This window comes from Homo sapiens, chromosome 10 (genome assembly GCF_000001405.40).
Source record: "Homo sapiens chromosome 10, GRCh38.p14 Primary Assembly".
NCBI classification, from domain to species: Eukaryota; Metazoa; Chordata; class Mammalia; order Primates; family Hominidae; genus Homo; species Homo sapiens.
Window position 1 is genome coordinate 130,163,727 of NC_000010.11, and position 12,028 is coordinate 130,175,754.

Here is a 12,028-nt window from a genome sequence, read left to right on the forward strand (position 1 = left end):
GTCACCTCGACCCTCTGCTGTTCCTTTCTGAGCCTGGTTAGTGGAGCATTGTTTTTGCTCTTCTTCTGGCATTTTAGAGAAGGGCGTAGGCAAAGCTCCCTTTATAAAAGCACTGGCCATCTCATCTTGTGAACACGCACGTGGCTGCTCTTTCCTTATTTTGCACCAAATTAGCTTTGAAAGTGCTATCTCTGCTAACACCACTGAACTCCCACTGCGGAGTATTTTGATGTTTGTTTTTTGATTAGTTTGTCCCCACCTTGCTTTCTGCTAATCAGAAAAACATGAATGAATAACATTTAAATTTTATATCTAGAAAACCTTGAAAGCCATTTTTAGGGTCTCTCCTGGAGCCCCACTGGACTCAGCCTAACCCCTGCACAGGTCATGTCTCCATCTTCTTATCCTTCATGTGGGCTCTACCTGCAGAATTGTATGGTGTGTTATGAGCCTGACGTGTAGATAGGGTCTCAGTTGAAAAGAATTGGATTGTCCTTACTCTGTGCTCCTCATGAAGATGGGAAAATGCTTGTTTTAGGAAGAGTTTCCAGAAGCACTGAGGTATATGTCATCTTAAACAGAATCTTAAATCCTTGAGCAGGTTAATTATTTGGGAATTCTTATAACTATTTCAGTTAACAAAGCTTTTAGCAAAGCAAAAGGTATTTGAGGCATAGTCAGATATTCCTTCTGCAGTGAGAGTCATCCAGCCGGGCTCTTACTTTTGAATCAGCCACAGAATCAGGTTTCAGAGATGTTTTTTAGGGTTTATTGTTAGGTAGTGATGAGATGCGGTGTTAGGCACCTATTCATGTCATGAGTAGAAATGACTGGGGGTGGAAATGGGGATTCTGTGGCAGTTAAACATTACTTTTCTACATTTAAATATTTTTATTGCATGCATGCATTTTTCTTAAAAAAAGGTGTGTAAATATTTTGTTACTAGAATAAAGCCTTCTTGCCATCTTATCCTTAAGCGTAACATTTCTAGTCTGCCACTTTAACTCTTAAAAATGAAACACTACCAATCAATCTTTCTAGTCTGCATGTAATTGCCTAAAGCTAAAATAAAGCTTCTTCTCAGCCAGTTACAGTAAAAATGAGTTAATATATTGGCAACAGAATAACCATCAGCAATCAGCCGTTAGCTGTTTACTAATGAACTCCCAGATGAATAAAAAAATTTCAGAATCAGTGTTTTACTTCAGGCTGTACATGAACTTAACACTTCAGATGTAGGAAAAGCAACTTATATGCTATACAAATAAATACTAGTGCTTCATCTCAATAAACTGCAGATTTGGAAAATGTTTAGAGCTCACTTGTAGATCCATGTTTTAATAGTAAATATGATTTTGGGTGACATCAGTAAAGCCCATTCTTGCAATTAATCTTATATTGAATTTTATGGTTTGATTTTATTTAAAAACAATTGCTGACACTGCTAAGTCTTATAGAAATTTTGAATCTGAAGAATAGGTTCTTTTCCAGTGAATTACAACTGTGTTTGAGAAGAAGAATGAGGCGTGAAAGAGTAGGGCCCTACATAGTATTGGGAACAATGGAGAAGAATTAGCTTATGGAAAGAAAAATACTTTTTTTTTCAGACTAGGCTAATAGGTTTATAAAAGACTGATATTCACACTCTTATTCTTCAGTTATAATGTCATAATAAGATGATGTCAAAAAAGTACAGAATAAAAATGTGTCACAAAAGTATAATAAAATCATGGAACATAAAATTGTCGCTATAGTGTAGTAAAAAAATTACATTACATACTTTAGGGAATGTAAATAGTTTTAAAAAAGAAACTGTCAAGTTATGACATGAGATGAGAAAGAATACCGTCAATCTATTGATGGTTCATATATAACAACAGAGAAGATAGCTTTAAAATTCAATGTACTGTGTGTATTTTAGACTACAGGAGAACACATGCCTTCTTGATTTCTAATTTATCCTACTTAGAGATAGTGAAGATTGAGAACTACTGAAGTGGGAACTCAGGAAGTAGTAAAATGGCAGTAGAAATGCAACAGCATTGGGTTTTAAGTATAGTCAAGTAGTAGTTAAAAATAACAATTGTAGAATTTTTTCATCTGCCCAGAATTGATTCTCATAGATTCATAACAGAAAGGCTGGGAGGGACTGTCAGAGCATCAGGTCAGTCTCCTGATTAGTAGGAAAGTGCTGAGCGGAGGCCACCCATGGCCTCATCATGTGTCACCTTGGTGGGTGGAGGGAGCAGGTGTCAGATTCAGATTTCTGGTTTTGTTTAAAGACAAGGTCTTGCTTTATCACTCAAACTGGAGGCTGGAGTGCAGTGACAATCTCATAGGTCGCTCCAGCCTCAGACTTCTGGGCTCAAGTGAGCCTGTTGCCTCAGTTTCCCCAGTCTCTGGGATTACAGGTGTGCACCATCACCCCCAGGTCTCTGCTTTTTGGCTAGTGCTATTTCTCCTGTGACAAAAAATGTCCATGATATTGAAGAATAACTTTAATAAATACACACACCACTTTTTTTTTTTTTTTCAGTAGTCACAGTTGTGTCAAAAAGTTAAGTCATATCTGAGTGTGTGATATGGTTCAAGGTCAAATAAGGGGATCCAGGAATTTATTTTCTCTTTGTATATTATTCAGCCATGCTAATTAAATCACCAGCAAAATAAGGCAGGCGTCTATGTCTTTTAGATGATATGTACGCTGAACTAATGTATTATCATGTGTATGTGTTTTGGGAGAGAGAAGTTAAGTGCTTTATTTCTTTTTTTGTGTACAGGTTTCAGCAAGCAGATGGTGGAAATTCTTCACAAACATAATATTCAGTTTAGCAGTTTTGATATCTTCTCAGATGAAGAGGTTCGACAGGGACTCAAAGCCTATTCCAGTTGGCCTACCTATCCTCAGCTCTATGTTTCTGGAGAGCTCATAGGAGGACTTGATATAATTAAGGTTAGAATTGAGAAGTCTGTGCTTTGTAAAGAAATTCCATTTAGAGCATACTTTTTAAAATGTTGTGATAAATCTAAGATACAAATTTCTTATGAATCTATATTTACTAATAAGAACCTGCAATGAATACACAGTATTTCTGATTAGTTGATTGATCAATAATCTGTGTTATGGTATGATCAAGGAGATTTATGTTATAATAATTTTTTTCATAAAACTGGTATGTGTGCTTATTTTAGGAGCTAGAAGCATCTGAAGAACTAGATACAATTTGTCCCAAAGCTCCCAAATTAGAGGAAAGGTAAGTGTTTTAGAAGGTTTCAAATAGCCTATCATTTAATATATTAAAAATATTTTAAAGTCCTCAGGTTTTGCATTGCTCTTTCTGTGTAGAAATCAAGGATTTGGTATGCCAGACGTCATAATTGTTTAGTCACATTAGCCATTCAAACTTTGGCAAATCTAATTTGTATTGGAGAAATTTTAGCACCAACTTAGTGATCATGTGGAGGATCTGCTTTGCTTTTATAGAAATGTCATTGTTTCTGTGGAACAACCAAGTTTTGCTTACCTCTCTGCATTTCAGAGCCAGGGTCCAGTTGTTTTGTCACTGCTCCTTGGCGTAACCTCAGCACACTCGTGTTTTACTGGGTGCAGCCTTGGTGACTGCTGCGGGTGCTGCCCCAACGCCAGAGCACTGAGTGACAAGTGGTGAGTGTGAAAAACTCATCACCTCGCAACAAGCTTTGAGCACTTCTCATGGCCTTTCTAGACCACGAGAACTTACATGAACAGATTTTGGAGGTGTGAAACATGTATTTGTTTTATCAAGGATCTCACTTGGCTTTTAGAGACGTTCTCTTACAGAAATGTTGGACTTTGGTGTGTAAGGCAACTTAATGGGATTTTTATTGCAGTAAAATTAATATAGAACTTTAAAAAGGAATTTATTATATCAGCAATCAGCCATTCATAGTTGGGGCTGGAGATTGTAAGATAAACCTTCCTTTGGTAATTTTTTTTTGCCATGTAACATCTTGAGAATTTCTAAAAGTGTTTAATAATAATAAATACCTCATTTGTCTGTCGTTAATTAATAATTTCTATAAACAGCGTCCAATCCACGTATGTCAGGCTGATCTTTGAGTGCCGCATTCTGTCCTGTGGTTGGTACCATTTCCTGTGTTCTTCATGAGAAAATGATACTCCTCATCCCTTTTTTGACTCTGGGCGTCTTCATGTGTGGTTCTTGCCTGTAGCCTGGTGATGCCCTTGGCCCATGGAGGCTGTGTGGTCTCCAAAGACAGCTGTGTTTTTTATATGCTTGTATTTGCTCTTCAGTTGATTTTCCTTCTCTGCTGAGTGCACTTGCCGCTGTTAATGGCCTTGTCTCCATCAGACCTCCGTTTCCTAATGTGCTGCTTCTAAATCTGTGCTTGCAGACACCAAAGGGTAACGGGCTAGAATTATGTCGGAAGGAAAATTCAGCATATTTGGAGTAATAATTTAAAGGGCTCCGAGTGAGCAGAGTGTAGGAAGTGGAGTTCATGGACTTGTGACATGTATTTTGGCAGTACTTTGTGAGCTGTGGTTCCCTGTATCCAGGTGACTGGGTTAGTTAGTTGGGTTGTCAGGGTCAGCATTGTATTCCTATATCTGTTCATATTTTTCTGAACTTGAGCTAATCCCACTCGGTTGGCAATGTAAGTGATACAGCTTTGTGCGTGATTGATGCATTTCATTTGGGATGAGTTTATAAGGATATTTATTATTATTTTTTTTTGAGACGGACTCTGGCTCTGTAGCCCAGGCTGGAGTGCAGTGGTGCTATCTTGGCTCACTGCAAGCTCCGCCTCCCGGGTTCACACCATTCTCCTGCCTCAGCCTCCCGGGTAGCCGTGACCACAGGCGTCCGCCACCACGTCCGGCTAATTCTTTTGTACTTTTTAGTGGAGACGGGGTTTCACCGTGTTTTGCCAGGATGGTCTTGATCTCCTGACCTCGTGATCCACCTGCCTCAGCCTCCCAAAGTGCTGGGATTACAGGCGTGAGCCACCGCGCCCAACCTCTAAGGAGATTTTTGAGCTGTGAATTGGGAGAACATGGTGGCGTGACCCCATGGGGCTTAGGTTCTTTAGTGACCCGTTGTCCCAGCACTGACTTTTCTTGAGATTTGTGACTAAACTTGTGGCTGTATACAGATAATTAAAATTCCTGACAGCATGTTAGATTATGATGTTTGAAAGACTATATAAAATATAAAACATGTTAAGATGAGAGAATTTGATTTTAGTATCTGGCATTAGTTGATGTTCTGAGGTTTAACGCTGTCACCCTGCAGTCCGACCTTGTGAGCTTTACACGTGTACAGTGGTATGCAGCATCATGATGGAAGATGGTGCACACAAGATCTAGTTCTGGAAGTTTTGGATGGGCTTAATATATAGGCCCCTTATTGAACAATTCCTTACTGAATTGGTTATTATTATTATTTTTTTATTACTGTGAGTTGATGGGCTTAAATTGCAACTTGAAGGAACATTCGTTGCCTTAAAAGCCATATTGTGTTTTACAGTGGCTTAGGGAGAGAATGAAATCAAGGAAAATGTCAACGCATTTGCTTGTTTAATACCACTCAAAGCTGTGAACTGTCATCCTGCCATCCCTCAAATATGCATGTTACTCACGAAGCGGAGGAAAAGTGGTGTTGCATAATTGAGCTGAGCCGTTTTATATCAATTTTCTCTCTTTAGGCTCAAAGTGCTGACAAATAAAGCTTCTGTGATGCTCTTTATGAAAGGAAACAAACAGGTAAAGAACTCAAAAATGGTTTTATTTGTAATTTCTTTTGATGTTAACATCTGCAACAAGGGGACAGTTAAATCTTTTTCCTAGCTTTAGCTAATGAAGCTGTAGCGATATCAGGAAGTTATCCACGCCTTAATTGGTGCTTACGGAGATCAAACAAAGTAATCTACATTTTGCTTGACTTTATCATCAACATCTCAGTGGGGTGCATTTCTTTCTGCTGCCAAACTTTGTCAGCTAATGTGGTCAACACTGTTAACACTTTACTGGTTGTATGAGTTGTTATGTCATTATCCTTTGTTTGAGTTTGTGGACTGCTGAAGTGTGCAGCTGAGTCAGTGGACTTCCTGAATGCAGGGAACCTGGTCGTGCTTGGGTTTGCACCCCTAGATCGTCCTTTTGTGACAGTGGAGGAGCAAACCCTGGCTGTAGCAGGTGTGCTCTGTGTGTTTGATGAATGAGTGAAATGGTCAGCAATTCTCATTTTTAATGGGATGGTTCTTACAGCTTTTTGATGTAAGTACATATTGATTATGCGTCATTTTGAATATCAAGTTTGATAGATTACTTCCACCGATAGTTTGAGCAGAACTAATTTTCTTTCAGATTGAGATCAGAGTGGTAATTTCCAGAAACCAGCCATACACATTTATATCATATTTTGTAATTTTCATAGCAATTGAACCTCTACTTAATTCTCAATCAGTTGTTGAAGTAGGCAGGGTTGGACAGACTTTGGCCTGTTTTAGAGATAAAGAAACCAAAGTTTTGAAAGGTGAGGCTGTTGGAATAAAGAAACTGCCTCACTTGTTAGCAAGATGCACCGGGCAAGTGACATGGAGAACCACTTTGCTCATTGGGAAAGGGACACAATACTTCACAGGGCAGACTCTGGTTGCCATAACTAGTGTATAAGTTAACATAACTAGTATAATGAAGCTAATTAGTTAACATAACTGGTTAATATAATTAGGTAATAATGAAAGTAACAGTAACAAAGAAAATGTTAATATAAATTTCAGCATGTTGGAAACATTAGGTTAGGGCCTAAATTCTTTGATTTTGGTTCAGTGTATTGAAACAATAGAGGAAGTTAATAATTCCTAGTAATGATAAAGTGACATTTTTTCTTATTCTCGGTAATGGTTTAAGTGGATATTTATTCTCAAAACTATTTTTTTCTGGAAACCTAGAAAGTATTAATACATTTTGGAAACAATGTTATTGGGGCTATTAAAATGTTGACATGGTACCATATCTTTTCCACAAGATTGCTGGAATTTGGAGTCCTGTGGCATGAAAAAAGCTTAAGATTTTCATAAACTCAAAAAAGTGTTAGTATTCTGTAATGTAAAAATAAATGAGGCTGGATGCGGTAGCTCATGCCTGTAATCCCAGCACTTTGGGAGGCCAAGGCAGGTCCGAGGTCAAGAGATCGAGACCATCCTGGCTAACATGGTGAAACCCCATCTTTACTAAAAATACAAAAAGTTTGCTGGGCGTGGTGGCGCATGCCTATAGTCCCAGCTACTCGGGAGGCTGAGGCAGGAGAATCGCTTGAACCTGGGAGGTGGACATTGCAGTGAGCCGAGATCACACTCCAGCCTGGGGACAGAGTGAGACTCTGTCTCAAAAAATAAATAAATAAATAAATAAATAAATAAAATAAAAAGAAAAATGGGAGTCAGAATCCAGTTGGAAATGGGAAAATAATTGTCATAATCATTGCAAAAAGGCTAAGTGAGTTAAGATCATTTTGCATGAGTGAATTAAACAATGAACTCAAATCTCTGTAGAAAATCTCGGTTTCACTTAGAGGAACTTTTTGACCACAGAGAATATAAACTGTTGGAACACATGTCATCTCAAGTGGTTACAAACCAAAGGAAAAGGAAGTCTGTGGGTCACGTGTGCCTGGGTTGATGTGTAGATGGGTTCGTACTTGAAGAGGGGATGAGCAGAAGCTCTGGGAGCTGAGTGAAAGTAGTGGCAGCTATGCTGGACAAGTGCTGTGCTGGTTGACAAGAGTATTAGGTACAACCATGCTGCTTGGGTCATACAAAAATTGTAATCTTTGCAAATTTTTTTTCATTTAGGAAGCAAAATGTGGATTCAGCAAACAAATTCTGGAAATACTAAATAGTACTGGGTATGTAAATGTTGTTTTCAAATGGTGTATTAAAAAAATTCCAACCTGGCCAGGCGTAGTGGCTCACGTCTATAATCCTAGCACTTTGGGAGGCTAAGACAGGAATATTGCTTGAGCCCAGGTGTTCGAGACCAGCCTGGACAACATAGTGAGACCCCATCGCCACAAAAAATAAAAAAATTAGCCAGGCATGGTCACATACATCTATGGTCCTAGCTACTTGAGAGACTGAGGTGGGAGGATCACTGGAGTCTTGGAAGGTGAGGCTGTAGTGAGCCGTGATTGCACCACTGCACTCAGCCTGGGTGACAGAGCAAGACCCTGTCTCAAAAAAAAGAAAAAAATATTTCAACTTTTCAGTTCTGCCACTGATACTTTTCAGTTGTAATGTCTATATCCATACATATCTGTATCTTTCTTTATTTTTTGCTGTATTGTTTTGTGAATGCCTTAACTTAGATCAAAATAGTATTTTCTGGCCAGTGTCAACCTATTAGTAACATAAAGGAGGTCTTTAGGCCACCTTTGGAATAACTATTTGTCTACTTTCCCAGAGGAAAATGTATAACTGAGTCCTCACCATGCATAAAGATATTTCAGGGGAATATATTATAGGTAGTTTTTAATTTTTCTCAAATATCCTAGTTGCTAAACAGTACAGAAAGCTGAGGGGCACATATTAAGGTCCATTACCTGGATCTGAGAGGTAGCACAAGTTAAATTGCAGTGCTCCTAGTTTTGATGTGCTCAGTGGTGAAGCTGTCAGGTAAGAACATTGCCATTGATTTTTGTGGTTAAAAACAAAAGCACTTATTTGGAGATATACAGCACATGTTCTATAGGGTTTGTCAGATATTTTTGTTTATTTCTCATTTCATGATTGTATCTTTTAAAAATCATGTATTCTAACTGTAGCTTCAAATAAATTACTTTCAAGTAATCTTTGATATACTTCAAAGATCTATTGAAAATAGTTAAATAGTACAGGTTGAATACAATTTCAGGGACATAAAAAGAATATAGGGCCAGGCACAGTGGCTCACACCTGTAATCCCAGCACTTTGGGAGGCTGAGGTGAGTGGATCACTTGAGGTCAGGAGTTCGAGACCAGCTTGGCGAACATGGTGAAACCCCGCCTCTACTAAAAATACAAAAATTAGCCGGGTGCGGTGGCGCACGCCTATAATCCCAGCCACTCAGGAGGCTGAGGCCTGGAGAATCACTTGAGCCCAGGAGGTGGAGGTTTCAGTGAGCTGAAACCACGCCACTGCACTCCAACCTGGGTGACAGTGAGACTCTGTCTCAAAAAAAAGATGTGGTTGTCGTCTTTAGATTACTATGACATTTTATAGAAGCAAGTATAGTCAGTTTATTGTAATTGTAACTTCAAGCCTGTTCCTTTCTTCACCCCTGCCCTGGGCCATACAGTGGGGGCTGGCTTGTTTTTGGTCATTTTTGATTTTCCCCTTTCTTTGTCGACCCTCTGCTGCGGGTCCACAGTGAGACACACACAGTCCATCCCTCTCTAGCAGTACCAGGTTCCTCAGGTGTCTTCTGAGCCGACACACTGGGCCTGACTCAGCTCGTGTCTTTGGTGGAACATCTTGGTAACTTGGCTTTCTGTCCCATATCTGTCTAATCTCCATTGTATTGAAAGCACCCTGTTGTCGCAGAGAGCAGGAGGATGCTTTGGGAGAGCATGACCTCCCAGCTCTGGACTTGCTAAGCGTGATTGGCCCTAGGATGAGTGAGGCCATCCAGGACCTCAGCTTCGCTTAACACGAGCAGACCATGCTCTTGCTGGGCGCCAAATGTATGTGGAGAAAACTCCTTTTTACTTTTTCTCATTTCTTATCTTTTCCTTTAGTAGCCAAAATACACATGCATGAGTGGTTGAGAACCAAGTGTATATTGAGGTTTGAAAGGTACCCTTTATGAATAACTTTTAGGAAGTATACTGGCTGTTAGGACTCCACATACATACACTTGGGCCCAGTGCTTCCTGGATCCTTTATGAATAGTTGTATAACTCATTGTTTTTATCACAGTATTAAGAGATCTGCCACCTTTAGTTCAACTTGAACAAAGACTTACATTGGGGTTTTTAAAAAGCATTAGGTTTACATTGGGGTCTTTTTTTGTTCTTCTTTCAAACATTCCTTTTTTGGTAATTGCTTCTGATTTATCCCGTCATTTAGTTTTTTTGACTGTTCCCTGTACCATAGACAGTTTCCTTGGGAACTTGTTTACTAAATAAACAAGATTTCCCTATGATGGTTTCAGTTTTATGGAAAGTCCAGTTTTTTTTACATGTAGCATTTTCTTTGGCCACCTTTGGGAATTGCACCTGTACCCTCAGGCACCCTGCAAGGATTTAGGCATACATGCTTGCTAATACCTGACCACCTAACGGTGAAATCGCTCTGAGTGGATACAGTTGGATATTCATGCAGTGATTTTTCATTTTTTGTACAAGTAATGTTCATTGTATGGTATAAAGCCACAAAGCTTTCATTGGCCTTTTGTACATTAAAAACAGCACCCTCTCTGAAATAAGTTTAAGTGTGGAAAGCATGTCTCTTGCTAAGGTGGAGGGAGCTGGCAGCGTGGTTGTTATCCGGCTGCTGAGCCCTCCAGCCTCCGTCCACGAGCACTACTACATCCTGCTGCACGGGCAGCTTCCAGGAGGTTAAGAAGCAGCAGCCTGGGGTGGGTTAGACATTAGAAGTGGGTAAGAGTGTTCAGTTAATGAAGGCTCGTGCAGATGGGGGTGTGGGTCTGATCCAGGGGTTGGCAAGTTGCAGCTGGCTGCCCATTTTTGTAAATAAAGTTATATTGGCACATAGCCACATCCCTTCATTTATACATTGTCTGTGGCTGCTTTTATGCTGACAGTTGCAGCAGAGAGCAGAACTGAGCAGTTGCAGCAGAGACTGTCTGGCCTGTAAAGCCTGAAGTGTTTAGTGTCTGACTCTTTAAGAAGAAGTTTGCCCACCCCTGGTCTAACCCAATATTGTCCGGAGAAAAATCCAGATAAAGTCATATGTTGGAATGACTAATTCTGTGTAGTACCAGACAGATTAAGAAGTAAAATCATTTCCATTGGTCTGTAGTACATTTTGTTAGCAGTGAAACGGTTTTCTTGATTATTTTAAAAACATCAAATGCATAGAGGTTTTACACTTTGATTTAACTGTATTTCCAGTTAAAATGTCTTCTCTTTTTTGCAGTGTTGAATATGAAACATTCGATATATTGGAGGATGAAGAAGTAAGTTCTGTGTTTGATGTTTCACCCTTGTCTTAGCTTTAATCTTAAGGGCCTGATAGGATGGTTTCAGGATTCCTGTTGTTTCTTTAGGTTCGGCAAGGATTAAAAGCTTACTCAAATTGGCCAACATACCCTCAGCTGTATGTGAAAGGGGAGCTGGTGGGAGGATTGGATATTGTGAAGGTAAGGCCAGTTCTTCTGCTGTTCTAAAGAACGGAAAAGATTTTGGTATGTTTAAAAATGATTTCATATTGAATGGAAACTTGAGAGTTGTTTTTGACTCCTGTTTCCAGCCTGACTCTCAGACATTTCTAGACCAGTATCACCGTTTCTGTGTGCATGACTACCCTGCCATTCTCACTGTCCCCACGTGGCAGCCTGTTCTTACTTTCACACCTGAGCTAACCATTGCATCTCCTTTCTGTGGGGTGATCTTCCCTGTCACTCAGGGTCCTTGTTAGATCCTGCTTCAGCTCCCAGACAACAAATTGTTTTTTCTTGCCTTACTCATCTGCCCTTGGGTGCATGGAGTGACAGCAGTGTGAGGCCTGTGGCCCGGTGCTGCCCATCCTTGCCACAGAGGCTGAGGATCACTGCCCCTGGTCCCCCGAAAGAAAAAATGTAGGTCCTTTTTGGTTTTGAGATGCTTGGAAATCTGTTATCTGTTAGATTGTGTTTTAGATAAGACACCATTTCTTATGTATCTTGAGTCCTTCCTGATGCTTTGTGTATTTTAGGAGTTCAGTAAATGGTTGTTGGATGGATAAGTGACTTTACTTCTTGATTGAGTTTTAAATGGACGTTACTTTGCATGTATTTAATGTCTAGAATTCAGGGCAGGCCCACCA

General features: G+C 39.7%; 1 protein-coding gene across 3 annotated transcripts in view, besides 1 other annotated feature; it reads left to right on the forward strand.

The window, feature by feature from the left end:
• GLRX3 (glutaredoxin 3) overlaps window positions 1-12,028 on the forward strand; it is a 43,987-nt gene that overhangs the window by 27,336 nt on the left and 4,623 nt on the right. For all 3 annotated transcript variants that reach the window (NM_001199868.2, NM_001321980.2, NM_006541.5), the window contains 6 exons: window positions 2,781-2,953; window positions 3,193-3,254; window positions 5,707-5,764; window positions 7,858-7,910; window positions 11,141-11,180; window positions 11,271-11,363. In NM_001199868.2, coding sequence (NP_001186797.1) covers window positions 2,781-2,953; window positions 3,193-3,254; window positions 5,707-5,764; window positions 7,858-7,910; window positions 11,141-11,180; window positions 11,271-11,363 — 479 coding nt within the window. The remainder of the gene's footprint in view (window positions 1-2,780; window positions 2,954-3,192; window positions 3,255-5,706; window positions 5,765-7,857; window positions 7,911-11,140; window positions 11,181-11,270; window positions 11,364-12,028) is intronic.
• Window positions 4,422-4,922: an enhancer, noted in NCBI's record as "H3K4me1 hESC enhancer chr10:131966412-131966912 (GRCh37/hg19 assembly coordinates)". NCBI's record gives its function as "activates a minimal SCP1, AML or CMV promoter by ChIP-STARR-seq in naive H9 embryonic stem cells {active_cell/tissue: H9 hESC(naive)}" and the evidence as "EXISTENCE:reporter gene assay evidence [ECO:0000049][PMID:30033119]".